General features: G+C 33.8%; 1 protein-coding gene and 1 long non-coding RNA gene across 2 annotated transcripts in view; one reads left to right on the top strand and one right to left on the bottom strand.

Annotated features, from left to right (window-relative positions):
* The window catches only part of TRDN (triadin), a 420612-nt gene that overhangs the window by 303810 nt on the left and 91306 nt on the right, over positions 1-25496 (top strand). The window contains exons 23-24 of the mRNA NM_006073.4: positions 1212-1262; positions 16646-16684. Coding sequence (NP_006064.2) covers positions 1212-1262; positions 16646-16684 — 90 coding nt within the window. The remainder of the gene's footprint in view (positions 1-1211; positions 1263-16645; positions 16685-25496) is intronic.
* LOC124901393 (uncharacterized) lies at positions 3-23784 on the bottom strand. The gene is made up of 3 exons (XR_007059734.1): positions 23704-23784; positions 1113-1214; positions 3-83 (listed from the first exon to the last, which is right to left on the bottom strand). It is a non-coding gene; the product is annotated as an uncharacterized LOC124901393 (long non-coding RNA).

Genomic DNA, 25496 nt, shown 5'->3' with positions numbered 1-25496 from the left:
TACCCCCATCAGCTTGAAAAACAGTTAATGAAGCTTTCCAGTGTGTTTGTTCAATTCATGACTCTTGATTTCATCTTCATATGCTGAAGTATGGAAAAATAGCACTATTTATACACAACACCATAAATAGCAACATGGGCATTTATTTGTCACCAAAGACATTAAAAAAAATTCTACATGCTTATGGATATCTAAAGCTACAGCTTACCCGACAAGAAAATTTTGCTTTGAAAGATGCAGTTCTTTTAATAAAACCTCAAAATCAATTCTTAATACATCCAAAACTATCTGGACTCAGTTAATTCTAAGTGTTTACTAGAGTGGCATCTCCATTTACAAGCACCACCATCACAGTCTCTGTATTTTCACCCAAATAATATGGTGGGAATAGAAAAAGGGGCTGAAAGGATAGATCTCTTTCTTTCCCTTATAATTGCATTAAAAGTCATTTTCATCCATAAAATCTTTATTGAGCATTAATGTTGCAGAGGAAGCATAAAATGTGTTAATGTTTTATTTTTTATTAGGCTGTTGAATATAATGATGTTAAAGACATTGACCATATATGTGTCTGGAGCCCATGATATGGTCTGAATTACACTGAAGATGTGTTTGGAAGGTGGTAGAATAAGTAAAGTTTTATTTGAGTTACTTCAACCAAGGCCTTCATTTTGAAGACTTTAAAAGTTTATAGGTAAAATTGTCTCCTAGCTGAAATTGTCTCTCAAATTTTATTTTGGTCTTATTCTCAAGTTTGAGTCTGAAGACTAAAACACCGCTACATACATGATATGTGCAGGATTTTCTATTTGGTTGTTTATTTTTTGACAAAATGTGGGCTAAAAGAAATAAACTGGCTTTGTGCTGATTAAACAGTTTTGGAAGACTTCTGCATGCTGAAGTCATGCGATTTTTAAAAATTACACATAAATAAGGTCCTATCCATCCAAATACTCATTCTCTTAAACAAGTAGATTATAACTTGTTGAACAACTTATGTTTGTGCCAAGGAAAAATGATCAGTTTATGGCTTATTGTATTCTATACTGTTGTTTCTTTGTCCCTATATGAGTAAAACCATTTTTAAAGTGCATTATAAAGTTTCCACTTACTTTCAGCTTACTGATACTTTCAGCTTACTGACTTCATTTATAGGTATCTGAAAATCTCTTTGTCTTGGCTTCAAATAAATGTCCGATGTTTCTTTTCAGAACCTATTAAAGGGAAAGAAGAGAAAGTTCCAGCTTCCCTAAAGGAAAAAGGTAATATTATACAATGAAATGTGAAGCCACATTGATCTGCCTTTTGCATATTCAGTTATTTGCAACAAAGTAATGAATCATTTCATTTTCAGGCTCTCAAAACCATAGCCTTCATATGTTTTTAAGCAAAAGAAAAAAGATTTATATTCCATCATTAAATTCTAAATTGTACTATGAAACAAAAAAGGAAAGTGTAGCTGCATCAGAAATACTGCAAAAATTTTAAAAAGTCTTATGCTATTCTGATTCCATGGGTCTGTAGTGAAATGGAGGAATCTACATTTTATAAATATCCAAAGAGCGAATCTTAGGAATAGCCATGGAAACCAAAGATTTAAGATAAAATGAAATAGTAAAAATTTCTCAGTGAAATCTTTTGATTCTGTAAGTTCATATATAATAGAATCCTAAACATATTGTATAGCTAGGAGGAACTTAGAAACTGTAGTCCAATCCTCTTGTCTTACAGACAAATGAAGCCCAAATAGTCAAGACCTTTTTCAAAGTTACAGTTTGTAGTGGAGACAGCATTAGAACTTCAATCTCCTAAATCAAGCACTGTTCTTTTTCTAATGTGCCATGTTGCATCTCTAGCCTTTCCATTGTGATAGGCTTGAAGTAAGGTGGATTCTGATATGCCATACATCAAATTATGTTCCCTAAAACACAAATAAACTTGCCAAATTCAACGTAAAACATAAAATTTCTAACTAATCCAAGTATATTCTGTGGACATGGCATTGTGCTCAGAGTTGTCTAATATTTCCTGGTGTCAAAGTAAATATTAAAAATTTTCCATTGTGCCCATATTAATGAGTCACTGAAATTATAAAAACCAAGTAATGTACTTACTATTGTGAATGTTAGAAGAAGAGCCTGTTTCCCTGTAAAATATTGACCACACTTAGTAGAGGGACTTAGCTGTACAACTTTCATCTTACTGGGATTTTTTTATTGATAAGAGAAGGATTTCTGGTGAGCTTACATAAGCATGGATTGGGGTTGGAAGTGGTATGGAGATCAGCGGGAGAGGAAAGCTGACAGAAAGATGAGTAAGAGGAATGAAGGATGCATGGAGAGCCACCATTAGTGAGTGTAGCAATGTATAAAACTATAGCCTTAAGTCATACTTTCCTAATTTTGCAACTAATGTTAAAATAAACATAATTGTTATTTAATGAAATGTAAGAACACAACATGATTTTTTTTCTCAGCCCCATATGTATCTAATCAAAAAAAATTAAAGCAACATAGCTTCAAACCTATTAAGGAACTTATGCCTTCTTTTAGAAATGTGTTATTATAACTAAAACTTTCTTTTCATCGGCTTTTATGAGAGAGTTAGTTTATTGCTGCACACTATTTTGTTATTTTGACACGATATGTAAATTAGTATATTTTGCCTTGCAAGAGGATTCATATATGTTATGTTAAATGTCCAACAGGCAGATAAATCGTGCTACATTTTAGTATTCAAAGTTTAAATTAATTGAGAAAGGTAAGAAAAATATCCTGGACTTACCAAAACATTAATTCATCTTAAATAAATTCTAGGTTTCTTTAACATGATCTTACTGTTGGTTGACTTGGATATAACAATGTAAGTTGAAATGGTTAGATACCATTAAGTAATTTAATCACACAATGATGCTATATTTCTTTTGCCAATATAAGGTGGAAATATTTTTAAAAGGTGCAGACAGGAATATTATATATATCAATATTTTTATTTTAAAAGTTTAGTTTTTGTTTATTTTAGTCTCTGATGTCTGGAAATATATTCTCAAAGAATCTTCTTCTACTCTTCCAAGTATCTTCTTTCCATAATCCCATACCAGGTGGTTGGATCTAGCACCAGCCATTTCATCGTTAGAGATATTAGTGATGGGGACAGGGGCAACATATATCATGTTGAAGAAGATGCATTAGCTAAATCCTCAGTTTTACTTCATTGTACCATTTTCTTCCTAATTTTTAGTAAGGGCTATGACTAGACAGTGATTTGTACAAAAAGACAATTAAATGTAATCACCAGAATAATTATTTTAAATCCCATTTTATTATTATTATTATTTTAGAAATTCAGCCCTTAAATTACTGTCAGGATTTTAATTAGTCATTTTTATTTTTCCCACTTAGAGTGACAGTGATGTCTCCTAGAAATTTGCCAGAATATTAATGGTGCTTTAAAATTTTATGCATTGAAATTCTTCTTCTTTTTTGTTCCAAACAACCAGCCAAAATTCAGACCTATGATGCTGAATGTAAATGACAACTCCTGGAGATTTTATCAGCAAAGTGTAATCATATCATGCAAAGTGACTTTAACTTTCACCTGTAGGAGGTGTTGTCTCATTAGGCTTTCTCTTTCATTAAAGGGGATCACCACCATCTCACACATATTGGAACAGTCACATCTCAAATAAATCTTTAGTAACAGGAATTAACTTTAAAAGAAAATTTTCTAGGTTAAAGTTTTAACACTTCTTTTAGTAATTAGAGAGCTCCTTAAAAGGTTTCATTAAAGGAGCATCAGACATAATATGGCAATATCATACACAATTAAATGAGAAATTAATCTGTTATGTGTTAATCTTATAATACTTAAATAGCCACAGCATATTCTTCTTTGAGTAAAGGTAGAACCATGTTCTAATTTATTCTCTTAAATCTGGTTATGCACTAAACTCTCCTATTGAATTAAAATAAAAATGTCGTTCAGGACTCATGACCAAAGATTCTGATTCAGTAATCATGTAGTGGAGACAAGGACTCTGGCTTTTTAACTCTCATTTTCCAGGAATATGGAAGTGCATTTTCAAGATTTGAAGGCTCTTCTCATCTTCATTCCTTAAAATGAAAGATAAATTATAGATGGATAAATTTTAAAAGCCGTAACCATATGCAATCAAGAGGGAAACATTTACTTGGTTGAAAAACAGAGTGAAAACAAGGTAGTAAGCCAAAAAGAAGCTGCGGGGGTGCTGGGCTCTGGATCCTTAAACAGAATTGCTGACCAGGATCACATAAGGCAATAACGTTCATTGGAATAAGCAGGGATTTTACACAAGTCTCAATGCAATTAACCAGATACTGAAGTGGAACCCCCATTCAAGAAAAGAAGGTGAAAAACAGTTGCCGTAAATAGTTCTCTGGTGCTACAGTTAATAGGAAAGTGCAGACCCAGGAAAGTGGAGAAAATAAACTCAGCCCCTCATCTAGGACCTGAAGCAAGTCATGTATTGAAATAGAGACTTGTTCAGGAATATCCCTACTAACACTATGAGGCAAGTTTTGGAGCCATCAAAGTGTACTTGGGACTAGAGGCCCAGTGAAAGATTGGTGCGAGAGGAAGGAATCACACAATCGCAATTCATAGGAAAAAAAGAAACAAAAACGGCAACAACCACAATAATACAGTTCTCAGGCTGAAATATAACCTGAAATTCCAAATCATATGAAAAAATTAATAATAAGATAGGTTTGCAGGTGGTGTTGGTGTTGGTTGGGGGTGTGTGGTCATTTGGGGCGGCCTCTGCCATCTTCAGTACATGGTTCCAAGTTCTGCCTATGCATTGGCATTGCAGCCAGCACAAAGGAGGAGGAAGTGTGAGGGCATGCGTGCCAGGTGGCATGCATCAGTCCCATCCCCTTGCCACCAGGGAAGATTTAGATTCTTGATACATTTAACTGCGAGGGATTCTGGGTGAGAGAAGGAATGAAGAACAAGTTGTGTTGGCTAGTCAGGATTTTCTGCCATTACATGCCTTTCCATATGTTTGAAGATTATTATAACAGTATGGAGAAAATGTGGAAAATATGGAGTGATTTAGACTAGGTTGATAATATGGCTTATGGGAGAGATACAAGCATTTTAAAATGATTTTGACTAAACAAAACAACGCAAAAATCAATGTGCATGAATATGTGTAATATGATCACATATATGCATTTATATAGCATTACAAATTATACATATGTACTTATGTTTAAATATTAAATATAAAACACACTAAAAATGTCATCTTGATTTCAACATTGTATCAGATATAGTACCAATGGAGAAAAGGTATAAGAATTGAAAAGGGATAATCAAAGTTGTATTTGCAGAAAAGCCATCTTCATAAATATTCCAAATTTACCCACAAACAAAATATTAGTATGAATAAGAGAAATTAGCAAAACTTCTGGATACAAGATCATCCTATGAAAATTAATGTTTAGCATTCCTAAACATAAGTGATGAATAATTCAAAAATTTATTCGTTCAGGGTACCCTATTCACAATGGAAACAAACTCTGTTACAAAGAATAAATGTATCTAAATATTGATGACATTTTCATGTAAAAATTATGAAAAAAATTTTGAAATCCATTTTTAAAGGCTTGAATAAGTGAAGCAATATTTCCTTTTCCTATCTGGAAGTGATCATTTCCCTTTAAAGTAATGTATAGATTCATATAAAAAATATCAACGGTATTTTTAGAGTAGAAAAAAGTTTTCTTAAATGTCTTTAAACTTGAAAGGACAAAAATAAGAAAATATTTTTTGAAAAATAATAAGGTGGAATTGCCTGACCAAATATAGTTATTTTTTATAGAATTGCTTTAATTAAAATGATATGGAAATAGTACGGGTATAGGAACGCACACTGAGAGAACATAACAGCGAGCCCAGAAATGAAGCCCTAAATGTAGGAAAATACATTAGATGACAGATGTATCATTGAGAAAATAAATGGAAAACCACACTTGTTTCTCATGTAGGAAAAAATTTAAATTCCGCTCTCATATTTGCGCAAAAAGAAATTTAAGACATCTTCAAGACTTGATGCTAGAAGACAAACTTCAAACATTCAGGAAAATAGAGAAGAATATATATAGCTTTTGGTTACAGTAGAATTTCTTAAGACACAAAGAGAGCAAATCCAGAAGAGGAAGATTAGCCACACATTAGAAAAATATATTGCAATGCATATAATGAACAAAGAAAAATAACTGATATTTTAAAAATCTGCAGATTTTATTTTTAAAATGAAAGCAAGCACTTGAAATTTAAAATTTGCCAGTTTCTATTTATTTTAAAAATAGCTAATTGAGCAAATGACCAAATAATAAATTTATGATCACTGAAAAATGTGGGTGATATTTGTAATCAGTACTTCTTGGTTAATTTATAATGTGGACTAACAATTTATTTCTATGACACAGTTCAATTCAAATAGATGATAGAGAAACAATAGCTGAAATCTATCTAAACTACATGAAGTTTTGTATAGGACATTCATGTAAACCAAACATTAATAGTAGGTGTATGTCTATAAGAAAATTTGGGTGACTTTAAGAGAAATATTAATATACTCAGAATTCAATGTCATGGACCTGATAATATTTTAAAAAGTAGAAATACATTTCAAAATTGCTTCAACATGTTAGAAGCCAGATTCAATCAAAATGAGATGCTACACTGAAGTGAGATGGGACTTTGAGATGGGATACTAGAAAAGGACATGCTTAGAATATAAGACTCTATATCTCTTTTACACCATGCTGAATTTGAGGTATTTTTAGGACATTCTAGTAGAAATCTAGAGCTGGAAGCTGGCTATTTGGGTGTGAGTATCAGAAAAAATATTTGGGTTGGAGATACACTTGTGAACCTGTATTCTGAATTTGAAGATGTTGGCATGCCATGCATGGGTGCGATTTCTTATGGAAAGAGCCAAGAGTAAGAGAAATAATGTTAGGAGAGGATAAAGTTAAGTCTCAAAATTGAGGAACCCTAAACCTTCTTCTTAACATGAGTACTACCAACAAACTTGAAGTCCAATACTAGTAATCACTCTCTCTGCTATTTATTTTACAGAAATTGGTAATTTTGCATGTTCAGTTGTCACTAGTTTTTGTGTCTCATTGCAAAGGTACAATGTTGTTTCTATAAGCACTATTTTAATATTGATTAATTCAGATACAAACCTGCAGGGGAAAGCTCAATGATTTATTGAAGGAGTATGTGTTGTGTAGTCTGCTTTTATAAGAAAGAATCAAGACAGTTGGTCTCAGAGACTTATCCCAAAAGGCACCTTTCAGAATAAGTTAATTCAACATATGCCATAGTAAACTTAACCAGTGTTTTTGTCTTGCTACATCTAGAGACCATAAATATTCCAGTGTCCAGTGATTAACATAAAAAGGTGGAGTTTTGTCCCCAAAGTTCCAGTTTTAAAGTTATTTAGTGTTCTGATTCTGTTTAAACTGATATAACAGGGATTTATTTTGTCTTTTGAAACTGATAACTCTAAGAAGATTCAATTAATCTATATATTTTATTCACTACTCTAAATTTTTAAAATGTTCCAATAGTATTGCAATTCACATATGTCATCTTCACTCATGTCATTGTCCTCCTCTACGAAATATTAGAACTTTCAGTAAAATATTTTCATAGTCTAATACTGGGTCTAGAATATTTGGTTTAGTAATCAACATTAGTATTTTAATTTTTCTGTACTTTTTCTGAGTTTCTTGGTGCCTAGTCTCTAATATAAATTCTTAGCATGATTTAATTCTGCCCTGAAGTATTTTAAGGAGAAATACTACAACTGTCATGTTAACAGTGAAGAAATTGATGCCCAAAGATTAAATGATTAGCCAAGATTTTTATGCTGAATTAGCTACTTAGTATCAGACTTAATAACCACTAAAAATAATCTTATTTTTCTTTTTTTCAATATTGGAATATATTAGCAAAACTTATCCTAACACATAGTCAAAATTTTTGTCTTTGTAATAATTTTATTGTGTTTGCTAGGCATGAAGGAAGATTACAGATAATCTGTTGATTAATAAAAAAGACCAATCAGGATTCTAAAGAATAAAATCTTAGAAGATGCCTTTAAAATCCATGATTACTCATTTTCTGAAGAATTGTTAAAGTGAAAGTTGGACCCATAACAGTAGCACTTTCACTTTAAGCAGCAATTTACAGCCTAACACATTTCTTGTTATGTCCATTATGCCAAAATGTCAAGTTGATAGGATGGAAAGAGGTCATGTATTATTTTCAAAAGTAGTTGAGGGGGCCAGGATTTTCTCTGCAAGCATTAGCTATACAAAAGTATTGTATCCAAGCACTGAGAATTTTTATAATCTTCATCCAAAATGTTAATATACAGCAACATGTGTACAGCTGTATGTAGGTGAAATACACGTGCAACTCTAAGTGTAGAGCTCCAATATTCATTCCTTGGTATTTTTTAAATATCAGCCCTCATTCAAAAGGCAGAATTGAATGAAAGAATGGGTCACAATCTCACTGCAACCTGTCTTATCACTCCAAGCTATTTTATGCATATGTTCTAATATGCTTCTCTCCTTGAAGGTTTTTTTGTTTTATTTTGTTTCGTTTTGTTTTTTGTTTTTTCTTTTCAGAGATGAGGTCTTGCTCTGTTGCTCAGGCTGGCCTCAAACTCCTGGGCTCAAGAGCTCCTCCTGCCTCAGCCTCCTGAGTACCTGGAATTATAAGCATGCACCACACACCTGGCTTCTGTCCATTAACATTTTAAAAAATATATTATTTCTACTGTAAGTCTTCTATTATTTTTACATTTTTGAACAAGATATAAGATGATTCATACTTAAACCTATGACATTTTATCTACTTAATTGATTATTCTTACTTCAAATTCAAGAAAATCGATACTGGTACCCAGAAAAACAAGCAAGAGTCTAGTGACTTCCCCTCAGTAAAGGAAAACTAAGGAATGCCTGCTTGTTTACCTTGGTAAGTGGCCTTTGCACAACTTTCTGAACTCATTGAATGGTTTAAAGTCAGCAGGCTCATTAGCTGAAATATTTCCAACTCGCCATCTGCCATCTTCAAATAACATCACAGGGCCTGATTCTGACAATTTCTGCAGGACCTACAAATGCATGCAGCCACCTCCAATTATATCTCACCTATTTTAAATGCACACTCTTCACACTGGGAAGCTTCAGGGAAGGAAAGAATAATGAGGAGCATATAAGTAGGCATAAAAGAAAGAACAGATAAAAGCAGAGTGACACTATCAGAAGTGTGGTACATTGCATTTAGCATATACAAAAGACAAAAGACCATGAAAATGAAATGATGACAGAATAAGGCAGGGACAATGTATGCATTTATTCTGTGCTGAAAAGAGAGAATGCCCTGTGGCCCATTTTATGTGTTTAATGTCCACTCAGCAAAGTTTTTCTGTAAGCATCAAACTCCATTGGGAATTTTGCCAAGGAAGGATTGCAGAATCAGGACTTAGGCATAAAGCATTGAGTCATGACTTAAGCGCCTGCATTACAAACTGGAGCCATTTTAGAACTACACCTACAGAAACTTATCAACCATAATTGTTTTTGTTTTGTTTCTGTTGTTGACTTAATGGGTTTGAGAGGTGTGTAAGAGGGACAGAGACAGAGACAGAGAACATGTGTGTGTGGAGGTGTGCTTGTGTGTGTGTCTATGTGTTATGGGAAAAGCAGTGATGTCAGTAGTTTGAGGCTCTTGCTTCCTGAAATAACTAACAATAAACAAATTAGTTCGTGTAGCCACTCTGAATAATTTTACTAGACAGACAAATTAAATATAAATATCTGAAGATAATGCACACCAGGGTTCAACGTCTAGTGAGTCAGTTCTAATGTGTTTTTCCATACATGTAAGGGTTTTGGATAGTGAGACAGGGATTCTGCTTCATATTTTGGTTTAAACACCCTAAAAATGAAGTTAGCATTTTGATTTTCCTGTCATTTTGAAACAGCATTTTAATTTTGTTATATATCCGTAACAATTTTTGAGTGTTCACATAATGTTCTGTGGCTATTCTAGGCAGTGAGGCTCCAAAGATGAAAAGACATATTCCCTGTCCTCAAAGATCTCACAAGACAGTGAAAAAAGGTGGGACAGGCCAAGCGCGGTGGCTTATGCCTATAATCCCAGCACTTTGGGAGGCTGAGGCAGGTGGATCACGAGGTCAGGAGATCAACACCATCCTGGCTAATATGGTGAAACCCCGTCTCTACTAAAAATACAAAAATTAGCTGGGCGTGGTGGTAGGCACCTATAGTCCCAGCTGCTGGGGAGGCTGAGGCAGGAGAATGGCATGAATCCAGGAGGTGGAGGTTGCAGTGAGCCGAGATTGCGCCACTGCACTCCAGCCTGGGTGACAGTGAGACTCCGTCTCAAAAATAATAATAATAATAATAATAATAATAATAATAATAATAATAAATTTTAAAAAAAGAGCTGGGACAGGGGAAAAGTGAAGTGTTCGCCAATGCTCCCTTCAATAAGGCAGACCAAATTGTCATCTAATCAATGGAGATCTGTTATTTCAATATTAGTACTTGAATACTCAGGAAATATTTGTTAAATCATTTAGTCTAATTCTAGCCACAAATTCCTGAGATAATTATAATGTTTCCATTTCAAAAGATTAGAAAATGGAAATTTGGAGAGTTTCAGAGATCACATATTAGATTATTTGGTTAAAAAGGAAATAAATTTCAAACTGAGGAATTGTTTGCTTGCTTAGCTTTTGCCTGTTTGTTTGTTTTTCTTCAACTGCAGTGGCAAAAATGATCTCTGCAACTCCTTGACATGAATGAAGTTGAACTATCACTTGAGAATATCATCACCTTGCTTCTTCATTATGCATGGAAGGATTCCTCAGTTCATGAGCAAAGATGATACTAATTCAGAAAGATAATCAGGGAAAATGGGAGCATAGAGAATGCATGAAGTGTCAAGACCATATGGATGTGGCTAAATAAGAGAAAGGAAAATGTTAAACAGTCAGTAAAATATTGAAGTAAAGAAATGTACAGCCAGATAAGATGAAAAGCTATGTAGTAGCAGATGCTGGGTGTTGGTTCACTGTGTGACCTCACCCAAAGTTAGAACAATTTCTTCTTTTGGCAATCTATGAACTGAAGAAGTTCAAAATCAAACTCAAAGGCAGTGAAATCTTGTCTTTTTCACAGTTATATTTATCCGGACCACAAAGCATTGTGTCTGCAGCAGAAGAAATCAGATACCATCTAGTATAGCAGACTGAATCTTTGCAAAATAAGCATTCCTCTTAAGACTTATTTAGGGAGGCTTATCTCATATCTGAAACATTGAAGTCAAGCTATTTGGAGTGACAGTATTTCTATATTCCATGCAGTACTTCCTCATGCAGAAAACAGAATGTGGAAGAGTGTGAGTGTGTGTGTGTGCAGGCACATGCAAAGTGCATCACATTTTCTTTTAAATAATAATATAGTTAGGACCACAACAAAGTTGTGAAATTGCGTGTCTTTGTGTGTAGTAGTGGTAATAGTAGTAATAGCAAGTAGTAGCAACAGGTTTTCATCAAAGTCCAAATATTCAGGAGATCCTGAATAAAAAAAGGTCCAAATGATGGAAAAACCATGGGTTTGGAATAAATGTATGAATGTTGCTTATAACAAATAAAATGTTTTTTTTAATTTTAAAATACGTATTGTATTTAAAATTGGGTTAGAAAAGTGCGAGAAAAGTAGTTTAAAATATCAGTGAAATGATTGACCTCCACCGTTTGCTTTGTACCTGGCACCATTCGAAGTACTTCACGTGTAGTGTTTAATTTTCACAGCAATCCTGTTTGCATTAACGTGAAAATGGAAGCACTGAGAGTTACTTGCCCAGGTCACACAATTGCCTGATGTGGATCCAGAACTGGTGTCTGGCAGTCTGATTTTAGACCTATGTCCTCAGCCACCACGTTTTCCAGACCCCCTCATACTGAAATTCACCTATGGTTGACCAGAGATAACACTGCTAATGTTCCTTTATATATTTTACAGGAGTAGGTTTTGTGACCCGCTTTTAAATATAACAACTTCCCATGTCATTAAATATTGAATACTACTCCAGGAGTGTGTGAGAGAGTTATTCATTTTCTATTAATGCTCAGACTGCTTAGTTTTACCAGCTCAACGTAGGAAACTATATAATACGATTCATGATTTAAAGACTGGCTTGAAAAAAAATAGAAACCTCTGTGATTATACTGTATATGTTAATTATAATCCTAATGACTATTAGTAGTTTGTGTAGATAATACAACATAGATAATATAGACAGACCACTTATAAGAAGTAGAATGTGGTGTGCTATACAGTTTTTATGTATTAAATGCTTCAAAGCTTTTAATTCTATCAGTAGCAACTTTAGTTATAGAAGTGTGTTGAAGTGCTTAAAACTTTGGAAACGGAATTCAAATCCCAGTTTTGCCACTTACTAGGGAGTATATATTTAAACATATTATTAAGTCTCAGTATTGCTATCTGTAAATTGAGTCTAATAATAACATTTACCACATAGGAGTGGTATGTAAGGATTATGTAATTTGTCCATTTTTTCAACAAATATTTGTTGATCTCTCTTCTGTGCAAAGAACAGTCTAAGCACTATCATGTATTAGGGAAAATAAAAAAATCATCCCAGGACTCATGAAGTTTATATGCTACTAGGGTTAGAGAGCTAATAAACAAATGAATATTTAATATTATATCAATAAAATATAGATAACATATATAATATACTTACCTTAGAGACTACCATGTGGCAAATACAAAGTGTCATTGGTGCAAAATAATAATAATGATTATTATTTTATTTTATTCCACATGTGAGATATCTATGTGCTAAAGAAACAACCGTGATAATAACAAAATAAATTGAGAAAAAAATCTATGATATTTAGCTTTTGCCTTGCAAAGTACTTAAAATAGAGGCATTCTGAAAATAATGCAGATTATTGGGATTTATATATTGAATAAATTTATTTCTTTTCTTTTTATGAAGACAAAGCAGAGACTCCTAAACAGAGTTTGTCTCCACTGCTGCCCTTCTGACTTAAGCACTTGCATGCTGAAGTTTTGGTCTGCTTATTCTACTTGAAAACACTATTGATGACATTGAAAAATCACTAATGAAGCTCCCTTCCCCAGGCCCATCAGCAATTTACATTTCACAAATGAAATCAACAGCCTGGAAAAGTCAGTGCTGCATAGGAAATGGCAGGCTGCCTGCCTCAACAACTTAGCATGGGGACTTTTTGGTTCCATATTTCCCCAATGCTTGTACGTGTAGCCCAAAACGAAGGGCTTCAGTGGCAAATGTTTACAGAAATTAGATATTGTATTATTATACAAGAATAATTGTGGTAGAAAACAATTAAACAGTGAAGACAGAATGAAAAATAAATGCTCGCCTGCTGTCTCTCTGGCCTCCCAGTCCCAATGGCCAGTATTAACTAACAACTGTCCTTGGTTTCCTGAAGCATCTCATTATAACTTTTCATTAAGCTTCATATATAAAGTTTATATATATACACACATATGTAAATATATATATAGTTGTTTTTATATGGCTTGAAATAAATCCTAGTTAGAAACTGTAATCTCATATGGCTCAAAAAATACTTTACTGTCAGTAGAAATATCATCTACAAAATGAGTGCACTGAGTTCTTAAAAATCAAGTAGCCTAATAAAAGAGCTGCTCAACTTAGAAAATCCGTTGCCACTTTCTCACATATCAATTCCTGCCTTGAGTATTCAAGGGTAAAATCCCAATTCTGTTTAAAAAAAAAAGAGAAAATTACTTTGAAAGATCATGCAATTTAAGTTTATGAGCATAATTTAAAAATAGCTAAGCTCTTTATATACATCACTTCTAATTCTCACATCAATTTTACATTATTTTCTCCATTTTAGCAATGACAGAATGAAGACTTGAGGTTTTAAGTAATGCCCAAGGTCACAAAACTTAGGAAATGAGCTTGCTTTTAAAGTCAGATTATAAAACCCAAAAACCGACTCTTCATACACCAAAAGAACTTGTCCTAAGGTCATCTTTAGCATTACTGTTCACATAACACTAAAGCCAGTAGTTCTATTCTAGTAAGAGGGCCCACAGCCACACGTTAGATAATACCTTTTCATAGGAGTGCTTACAAAATTCTGTGTACAAGATCGAAGTTGGTTCTGGTTGTATTGTACCCATAGTTGGTATAAATATTCTCCACAATTTTTATTTTTTCCAAAAGATCGTTTGACAAACATTAAGGCTGAGAAGATTTCATTTCAAGATTACAATATGATTGACAGGAGTGAAAGCCGTGTGCAGAGTGGGAAGCAAGGCTGTTTCAAATAGATACCTATTATTGATGAGCAAAATGCTAATGAACTGTGTCCTAGGAAGAAAAGATTTAAATTTGTGGGAATTCATTTCTAAGAAATCCAAATATTCAAATTAGCCATACTTCGGAAACAGAACTAAGAAGGAGACCAAGATCATTCTATCCAGACCTTGGGATATGACCCGGGTGAAGGGAAATAGGTTGGGAAAATGGAATCTTGGTTCTGCCACTTAGCAGCTGAATGAGGTTCCGCAAACTAACTTCCGTAAGTTTCAGTCACTTCATCTACCAAATGGGGATTAAAATAGCATGTACTTCATAAAATAATGGAATAATGCAAGTCAATAATTGACCAGCACTTGAGCCATAAGTACTCCAGAAAAAATAATTCTCATCACTAGAATTGTGCTAATTTGCTTGAAAGTTTAAACTGTACTGTTGACCTAGCATAGATTCAATAAAGAAAGAACTATTAGAGAAAAGAAAAAGTTGTTTCCTTTCCAGTGAAGCCAAAATCTCATCAGAACTCACCATCAAAAGAGAGAATTGTGTATTGTAGACTAAGTAATTAGATAGGAATTAACTTTAGCCTAAACTGACTGAGACAAAACATAGCACCAGGAAACCCAATAATTGAAGGTATCATTGAATTGTTGCAGGCCATATTTGCTATCATTGGACACATAAAGACATCACTTATTTTTTTAAGTTTCTAAAATAAAATATAAATGCAACAGCTATGTGACATTGAATTTTTATCTCTAGTTGCAGAGTCATAAGATGAATCAACTTCTTCTAGGACTTCAGATACCCAACAGGGAGCCTTTAGTCATTCTATATATTCCATTTATTTCACTCATTCATTCCTTCAACAATATTTGTTGATCATATACCACATATCAGATATTTCACCCAGTGCTGATATTTGAGTAATAAACAAAACACAGTTCTTGCACTAATGGAGCTTAAAATCTAAAGAGTGATTACAGACAATAACAAAATTTTCTATAATACTGTGGCACATAGAAAACATTAAAATAGGGTGTATCTACCAAGCTAAGTGAATGTGTCAAAAAGGGGGAGAAATATGTGCCAAAGAGTGTCAGAGTGCATTAATAGCACTGATACTACTTTTTACAGAAGGTGCACTCAAGTATTATCGGAAGTAGTGTGTAAAAGTCTATGACATTCTTTATTATATAAAATTCTGCAGTTAAACAAATTAGTTTTTAAAATTATAACTACAGAAAATGAGACACTGCTAGACTAAAACCCAAATAAAGCTGGTAGCATTATCCCTTATACATAGTTTATGCTCAGTAGGTATTCCAACTATGAAGTCAGTTTTTTCTGCTGTTTGGAGGGAGGAAAACTGTAATGTACCTGGACTCTTCCATTAATCAAAAGAAGACTCTATACCAAGAACAGATAATTATAAAGCCTAGGAAAGTTGGTTAGATAAAAGGATAGACTGGAAACATGAAAATATAGTCAACTATCTTATTGATTAGGGTTGTGCTATGAGTATTACTTGAATAGTTTAAAAAAGGTATGAATTTATTCTATACTGGTGTTTTTAGAATGCAGAATTTCTGGACAAAAGACATTGTCCTAGGACAATAAGAGAACAAGATACTTTATGTCACAATTGTCTATATTATTATATTAAATTTAGGTAAAATTGATTTATTTTATAAAATTGATACTAACGGAAATACTAGGAAAACAATAATTATATTAACCACTAGGTGGAGCCCCATGAATTAAATGTATGGTAGTCAAAGACAAAATTGCTTAAGTTGGTCAAATTAGGAAAATTTATGACGTTTTTCTTCTGAGCAATTTTTATTAATTTTTTAATTTGCAATATTTTCAGAATGCATAAATTATAAGTCCTGGCTTTTATTAAAGACAAGAAGCCAAATTACTTGATTAGCATGAAACTTTTTTGCAAACTGGATTTTAAAATCAAAGTATTTTTGCTTAAGTTACTTTATAATTTACCAAAGATACATATTCCATTAATATTTTGATAACAGTATATAACTATAATTGAAATTGAAAACAGACAAGAAAAATCAGTGAAGCCTACCTATTAATCCACTTTGTACTGACTATTTTTCAAATGTTATTTTTTTCCCTTTTGTTTGTACGTGTTTATGTGTACGTTTTGCCCCAGAACCTGAAACTAAAAAAGATGAAAAGATGTCCAAAGCAGGTAAGGATATTTTGTAAGATTTACATACAAGGAGATGTTCTGTTTGGTTGGAAGAAAGCTAGTTTTACAGTTTTACAATCCTGGCTGGATAAAATATTTAGACATCCAAAACATTAAAAAAATACTGATGCTATGTGCCATATATTTTACAAGTAATAAGCAATAAAACTAAATGTATGCTAAAGTTAACAAAAATTCCTTGCTTTCTGGTAGCAGATTTTGGGTAAGTTTATCAAAGCACTAGAACCATTAGCACATACGCTGCTCTTTGTTTATTTACTGGGCAATTGAACACTGTTTATGAAATGCTAAGAGGGCACCTTAAATGTCAGAGGCTCCATACAGAGCATGTCAAATGCCTAAAATTTATTATTATCATGGATTGAGTTTTATGAACCTGTATTTACCTACTTTCAACCATTTTGATCTCCAAAAAAGGAGTCCCACATGGTTCAACCTAACAGATTAAACACTTTTCTTTCACACAATTAAATGTGCAAATATTTTATGGAGAAGTAATCCATTGACCTATTGGCCATTAATTTGAAAGCTGAAATACTTTTAAAATAGACTTTCTAAAAACAGGTTTTGCAAGGGAAGAAGTCAAGAGATTAGCTGGGCACTCAAGGCTAGTGATGAAGGTTGAGTGGATGAATATCATAGAATATGGGAAAATGTAGAAAAGGAAGACACTAAATCCTAAGGAAAATTTCAATTATAGTCTTTCTATGGCTTATCCTAATTCAAGTATTTTGTATCTTTATAAGGAGATTTATATGTTTATATCTATCCAAAAGAAAGTTGTATCTATATCTATATCTCTCTGTAGAGTGAAAGTGATACTACAAAAAAGCAGACATTCATGATGTTGGTCTAAAAATTTTTGCATATATTCATTTGCACAAATTTTAATCTATATTTAAGCAGTTATTACAAATCACCCTTCTATGTATATGTTAAATATTAAATTATTAAAGTCATTTCTCTTAAGAGCATTGCCATCAGATCAAAATAAATTGTTTATTTTCTTATTTTTAGTGAATAAGCATGCCCATTTAAAGTAATTTTATATAATTTTAAAACATGCATTCTTTGGAAGATCAATGAAAAGTTGAACAATTTTAAACTGCAGAAAAAAAGCATAATAGAGATAAAATGTTATATTGAGTGTTTACATCAAAAGTTACAAATAAACTTTAGATATATCTTCAGAAAAGGAAAAACTGCGTACAAAAAATTGCTTTATTATTGTTAGCATTTTTACTGGAGTAGTGAAAACTCACTAATCAGATAAAAGGTGCATTATGTTGTCCTTTCCTCTTTGCATAACATTGTATTTTATGCTTTATTTTACTGATGATATATAATAGAAAAAGTAACATGCACTAACAATTTCCTATTATTAGTTTACATTAAGTATTTATGTCTATTTTATTATTGTTACTTAAATTTTATTTTAAGTTCAGGTGTACATGTGCAGGATGTGCAGGTTTGTTACACGGGCAAAGATGTGTCATGGGGTTTGTTGTACCAATTATTTCATCGCCCAGGTATTAAGCCTAATATCCATTAGTTATTTTTTCTGATCATCTCCCTCCTCCCACCCTCCACCCTCCAATTGGCCCCAGTGTGTGTTATTCTTCTTTATGTGTTCACATGTTCCCATGATTTAGCTCCCGCTTACAAGTGAGAACATGCGGTATTTGGTTTTCTGTCCCTGCATTAGTTTCCTAAGGATAATGGCCCTTGTTCCATCTGTGTCACTGCAAAGGACATGATCTTGTTCTTTTTCATGACTGCATAATATTCCATGGTATATATGTACCACATTTTATTTATCCAGTCTATCATTGATGAGCATTTGGCTTGATTCTTTGTCTTTGCTATTGTGGATAGTGCTGCAATGAACATATGTGTGCATGTGTCTTTATAACAGAAGGATTTATTTTCCTCTGGGTATATACCTAGTGATGAGATTGTTGTGTTAAATGGTATGCCACACTGGTCTTTGATGAATCGCCACACTGTTTTCCACAATGGTCGAACTAATTTACAGTCCCACCAACATTGTATATGCGTTCCTTTTTCTCCACAACCTCATCGGTATCTGTTACTTTTAGACTTTAATAATAGCTATTCTGGCTGGTGTGAGATGGTCTCATTGGGGTTTTGATTTGCATTTCTCTAATAATCAGTGATATTAAGCCTTTTTTTCATATGCTTATTGGCTGCATGTATGTCTTGTATTGAAAAGTGTCTGTTCATGTATTTTGCCCACTTTTTAATGAGGTTGTTTATTTGTTTCTTGTAAATTTGTTTAAATTCCTTATAGATGCTGGATGTTAGACTTGCGTCAGACACATAGTTTGCAAAAATTTTCTTCCATTCTGTAGGTTGTCTGTTTACTCTGTTGATAGTTTCTTTTGCTATGCAGAAGCTCGTTGGTTTAATTAGATCCCATTTGTCAATTTTTGCTTTTGTTGCAATTGCTTTTGGCATCCTCATCATGAAATCTTTGCCAGTGCCTATGTCCTGAATGGTATTGCCTCTGTTGTCTTCCAGGCTTTTTCTAGTTTTAAGTTTTACATTTAAGTATTTAATCCATCTTGAGATAATTTTTGTATATGGTCTAAAGAAGGGGTCCAGTTTCAATTTTCTGCATATGGCTAGCCAGTTATCCCAGCACCATTTATTGAATAGGGAATCCTGTCAGTTTTGTCAAAGATCAGATAGTTGTAGGTGTGGAGTCTTATTTCTGGGTTCTCTAATCTGTTCTATCGGTCTATGTCTCTGTTCTTGTACTCTGGGGCACAGCTCCCAGAGGAAGGGCTGCCATTTTTGCCGTTTTGTGGTCTTCACTGGTGATATCTCCAGGTACCGGAAAATTTGAGGTGACTAGGGATTGGAGTGGACACCCAGCAAACTACAGAAGCCCTATGGAAAGGAGGCCAGACTTTTAAAAGAAAAACAAAAACAAACAAACAAACAAAAATCTCCATTCAAAGGGCAGCAACCTCAAAGATTGAAGGTAAATAAGCCCACAAAGATGAGAAAGAATCAGTGCAAGAAGGCTGAAAACTCAAAAAGTCAGAGTACCATCTTCCCTTAAAATGACTATATCACCTCTCCAGCAAGTGATCAGAACTGAGCAGAGTCTGAGATGGCTGAAATGACAGAAGTAGACTTCAGAATGTGGATAAAATTGATCTTCACTAAGCTAAAGGAGCACATTCTAATGCAATGCAAGGAAGCTAAAAATTATGGTAAAACATTGTAGGAGCTGACAGACAAAATAGCTAGCATAGAGAATAACATAAGTGACCTGATAGAGCTGAAAAACACAATACAAGAATCTAAAAATGCAATCACAAGTATTAATAGCAGAATAAACCAAGTGGAGGAAAGAATATGTCTATTTTTATATGGTATTTGCTTTTAATTTCCTATTATGAAAGATAAATCAGCATTAAGGCATTTTTTATTATACAATATGATCAATCAACAACTTATTGAAAACATATATTATGCTAATGTCACTACCATATGTCCAGAGTTGTGCTTAGTGATATAAAATTTACAAACAAGTGGTAAGATATTATTTCCATTCTCAAAGAGTGTAATCAGGGACATAGACATGAGCTATCGAAAGATGGCTACAAGGAAATGATATTAGTGAAGGGTTCCCTAGGAAGTTAGAGAGAGGAGCCATTCCTATAGCCATTCCTAAGTAGCAGTAAGCGAAAACTTAATGGAGATAATATATTTAAGCTAGAAATTCAGGAATATACAGTTGACTCTTGAACAATGTGGTAGTTAGGTTCATTAACCCCCATGCAGTTGAAAATCCAGATGTAACTTTTGACTTATCCAAAACTTAACTACTAATAGCCTCCTGTTAACTATAAGCCTTCCTGGTAATATAAACTGGATGCACAACTATTTGGTATGTTATATGTATTATATGCTGTATTCCTACAACAAAGTGAACTAGAGAACAGAAAATATTATTTAAAATATCATAAGATAAAATATATTTACTATGATGATACTTATGTATCATCATAAAGGTCTTCATCTACGTCTTCATGTTGAGTAGGCTGAGGAGGAGGAGGAAAAGGACGGGTTGCTCTTGCTCTCTCAGGAGTGGCAGAAGTCGAAGAGGCGGAATAAATGCAAATGGGTCAGAAGCATAACTTTACAGAATGCATGGTAATTTCTGTCTAACTTTTTTGCTTTTTCATGTCTCCAAAAATGTTTCTAGATAGTACCAATCCTTCTTCCAGCATTTACTTTACTGAAGCAATGCTTCATGTAAGGGTCCCTGTTGTAAAATAAGTTAAAGCAGTCTTGAGTAACTGGAACCCCTCTGTCAGATTCTCTAATGCCAATGTGTTTCTGGTACTACTTCTTCCAAATCTGCTACCTCTTTGTCTGGTACTCATTCAGAAGTACTCATCTTCATTAAATTATCTTCTATTAATTCCTCTGGCATGGTGTGTATTAGTGCTTTAATTTCTCCAAGACCTGAATGTTGAAATCCTTCACCTCCCACCTTTTTTGCCATATCTACTGTCTATTTCATGATTTTTTTGATTGACGCTGTCATACATCCTGTGAAGTCATGCACAACATCTAAATACAGTTTCCTCCAACAGAAACATTCTGATTCAAGCTTGATGGCTTTCATGGCTTTTTCCTCTAACAAAGATGACATCTTCAATAATACAATTCTTCCAGACTTTCATGATATTCTCTCTGTCAAAAGTCTCTTCTATAGCAGACAATCCTTTCCATAAAGAACCATGTTTAACGACCCTTAAAAGTTCTTATGGCCTACTGATCTAGAGACTGAATTAGAGACATTTTGTTTGGGGGCAAGTAGACCACTTCAACACCTTAGGTGTAGAACTCAAGAGAGTTGTGGGTGGCCAATGGCATTATTCAATTATTAAGAGAATGTTAAAAGTCAACCGTTTACTGGCAAGGTACTTCCTCACTGCAGGGACAAAGCATTGATGGAGCCACTCCATAAAAATGTTTCTGAAATGGCTTGGCTCTGTATCCCCAGCCAAATCTCATCTCAAATTGTAATCCCCATAATCCTCATGTGTTGAGGGATGGACTGGGATGGAGGTGATTGGATCATGGGGGCGATTTCCCCCATGCTATTCTCATGATAGTAAGTTCTCATGGGATCTGATGGTTTTATAAGTGTCTGGCAGTTCTTTTTTCACACTTGCTCCCTCTTGTCTGCTGCCACGTAAAATGTTCCTGCTTCCCTTTCTGCCATGATTGTAAGTTTCCTGAGGTCTCCCCAGCCATGCGAACTATGAGTCAATTAAGCCTCTTTTCTTTATAAAATTACCCAGTCTTCGGTATTTATTTTAGCAGTATGAAACAGACTAATACAGGTTCTCATTGTCCAGGTCTTCTTGTATAATCAAAAGATTTGAAGCTGGTGTTTATGCTTTCCCTTCAGTCCTTGGGGGTTAGTATATTTCTAGATAAAGTCAGTCCTGGTCATAAACCCAATTGCATTTGCACAGAACAGTAGAGTTAACTTGTCCCTTCCTGCTTTAAATTCTGGGGCTCAATTCTCTTTCTTACTAATGAATGTCCTTTGTAGTATTATTTTTTTCCAAAATGGGTCACTTTCCTTTGCATTAAAAACCTGTTCAGGCAGAAATCCTTTCTTCTCAATGATTTTCTTAATGGTGTCTGAGAACTTTTCTGCTGCCTTCTCTTGGTTGGCTGAACCTTCTTCTCCTATTGTTGTGACATTTTAAAAAAAGCCAAATCTCTTTCTAAAATTATCAAGCCATCCGTTTCTGGTATTAAATTCTCCAGCTTTACATCCTTCACCTTTCTTTTTCTTTAAGTTGTCATATAATGACTTCATTTTTTCTTCAATTATGATAAAGTCTATAGGAACAACTTTGTTATAGCAATCCTGCACCCACATAAAAGCTACATTATCAAAATGAGATAAAAAAGTATTTTGCAATAAGTACAAGGTTTTCACTCCTGCTGGTATAGCTGCAATGAAAATTTCACAAATTTCCTTTTCTTTTTGAATAATTATCCTTATGCTGGATTTATATATCTTGAAATGGTGGGCAACCACAGCTGCAGACCTCAATCTATAGTACCTATCAAGCAATTCAAATTTTTCCATTAATGTTATGACTTTTTTATGCTTCTTTGGAGCATTCTCAGCATCACTAGTGGCACTTCATATTGGTCCCATCATTTTAGTCAAGGTTTATGATATTGCACTAAAAATGATAAATAAGAACTACAAAAAAATCACCTTTTACTGAAATATGCGATTTACTGGACAGATGAACTGCTTATGCAGAGATTAATGTCACACAGCATTTTAAGCAGCTACCCACAAAACTTCAGTTCATCACAATAGTAGCAAGAGAGGCTACAAAATCACTACAGTAGTACCATATGTACTATAGTTAATTTCATTCAGTTATCCTTTAATATTGCATCTTTACATTTGTTTACCTTTCTCTTGACTGTGCATGGCACCTTGTATGATCTGGAAGTGTTTATAGTGGAAGTTTAGACAAATTTTATCTTTTTATAATCGATTTATATATTTGTATATTTTATGGTAACAAATGACAAAACAGACTAGTACCTACATATATTTTATGCAGTTATGATATACCTCTTTATTTTTTTATATTTTTACACAACACAGTTCATGTGTGTTTTTTCAAATTGTTGCAAACCTCCCCAAAATTTTCAATGTATTTATTGAAAAAAAACTATGTATAGGTGAACCTGACCAGTTCAAACCTGTGTTGTTCAAGAGTCAACTGTGTAAGAGCAGCTGAGACAAGGAAATTACTATAAAGTATGATGGAACCAGTGTTGGCTTTATACTAGCGATACATGAATTTTACTCCCTTTGCCCCTTGTTCAGGGGTGTAACTTTACTTAAATTACTTAATGTTTCTGAACATTAATTTTCTTATCTATTGGGTGAAGCTCATCATACTCACCTAGCATATTTGTTACATGAAACAGAAATGATGCTTTCTACTTGGCCCAGTTTCAGTATGGTAGCTATATTTAGGAGCTAGCCTAGAGACAGGAATGAGCACAACAGTGGTGGGAGAGGTGAGGAGAGGACTAAGGACATTCCAGGAGTCACATGGCTAGCAGAAGATGGCAAAGTTGCAGTAGTAGGATACAGCCATAAGAAGATGGCTGTTTAAATCCAGGAATGGGGGCTTAGAAGACTAAAGTGAAATTTGGATTCTTGAGGCCATAATCGAGAAGAAGGTGGAATTGTTAGTCATAATGGCATGTAGAGTGAAATTCTATAGAAATAAATTAGAATCAGGAGTTTGAACCAAAATCTTTTATAACAATCTAGGTATTATAAAATAAAAGTAGGAGCAACATAAAGGTTGCATAAAGAGAAAGTAATGACCTTGGAATATTTACATTAAATTAATTAACATTGATTACTTTCAAAATTATTTAGAGCCATGACTAATGTTCAGTAAATGATTTTTTAAGTTTTAAAAAATCACTCAGCTTTGAAACCTATTGAAAACTACTAATGACATTTTGTTACATATTCCTTCAGGCCTGTGAGTACTTGTGCTTTAAACAGACTATCATTCTCTCTGTACTGTGTTATAATGGCTTTTGTAATCATCAAACTGTTTCATATGAAAATAATAGGTGTTGATGACATTAGTTCTGTATAACTACAAGGTCTGAAGCATGGGAAGATGAAGGTGATTAACTAGAAGTTGCAAAGGGAATTCAAGTGGGGTGAGTGCTTGTGGAGACTCTACATAGAGATTTTCTATAGACACTTGTAATTTGGGAACATTCACTTTGAATCCTCAGGCTGGGTTTTGTATTTATGAGGCGAGAGGTCCAGAGTAGAAGACAAAGGAAAGAGAGTTCTTCAAACCTGAGAAAAAGGAATACTTATATATTGTTGATGGGAATGTAAATTAGCTCAGACACTGTGGAAACTAGTTTAGAAATTTCTGAAAGAACTTGAAACAGAACTACCATTCAATCCAGCAATCCAATTACTGGGTATTTATGCAAAAGCTTTCTACCAAAAAAAAAAAAAAACACACACGTGCACTCATATGTTCATCACAGCACTACTCACAATAACAAAGACATGGAATCAAGCTAGGTGCCCATCCATGGTGGATTGGATAAAGAAAATATGGTACAACTACATGATGGAATACTATGCAGCCATAAAAAGAATAAAATCATGTCCTTTGAAGCAAAATTGATGCAGCTGGAAGTCGTTATCCTAAGTGAATCAGTGCAGGAACAGAAAAGCAAATACTGCAAGTTCTCAGTTATAACTGGGAGCTAAACATTAGATACTCATGGACATAAAGATGGCAAAAATAGACACTTAGGACTACTAGAGATGGGAGAAAGAGAGGGGACAAAGGGTTGAGAAACTAACTATTGGGTGATATGCTCACTACCTTGCTGATGGGATCATTTGTACCCCAAACCACAGTATCACACGATATACCCAGGTAACAACCCTGCACATGTACCTTTTAAATCTAAAATAAAAGTTGAAATTATTTTTTAAAAATGAGCATAAGAAAAAAGAAAAGAACCGAGAACAACTTCTTGGAAAAGCAAAATAACTAGTGAAGAGAAAAAAAGTGTTACCAGAAAGATCAGGGACTACAGTGTGCCAGCCTCCCAAAGTGGAAACACTTTCAGGAAAAAGTGGGAATGTCAGGAGTCAGTATCAATGTCTCAGAAAGGTCATGGGGGTAAGATGAGTGAG

The sequence above is a fragment of the Homo sapiens genome, chromosome 6 (genome assembly GCF_000001405.40).
Source record: "Homo sapiens chromosome 6, GRCh38.p14 Primary Assembly".
In the NCBI taxonomy this organism is placed as follows: domain Eukaryota; kingdom Metazoa; phylum Chordata; class Mammalia; order Primates; family Hominidae; genus Homo; species Homo sapiens.
This window is presented reverse-complemented; position numbering and strand designations above follow the sequence as displayed.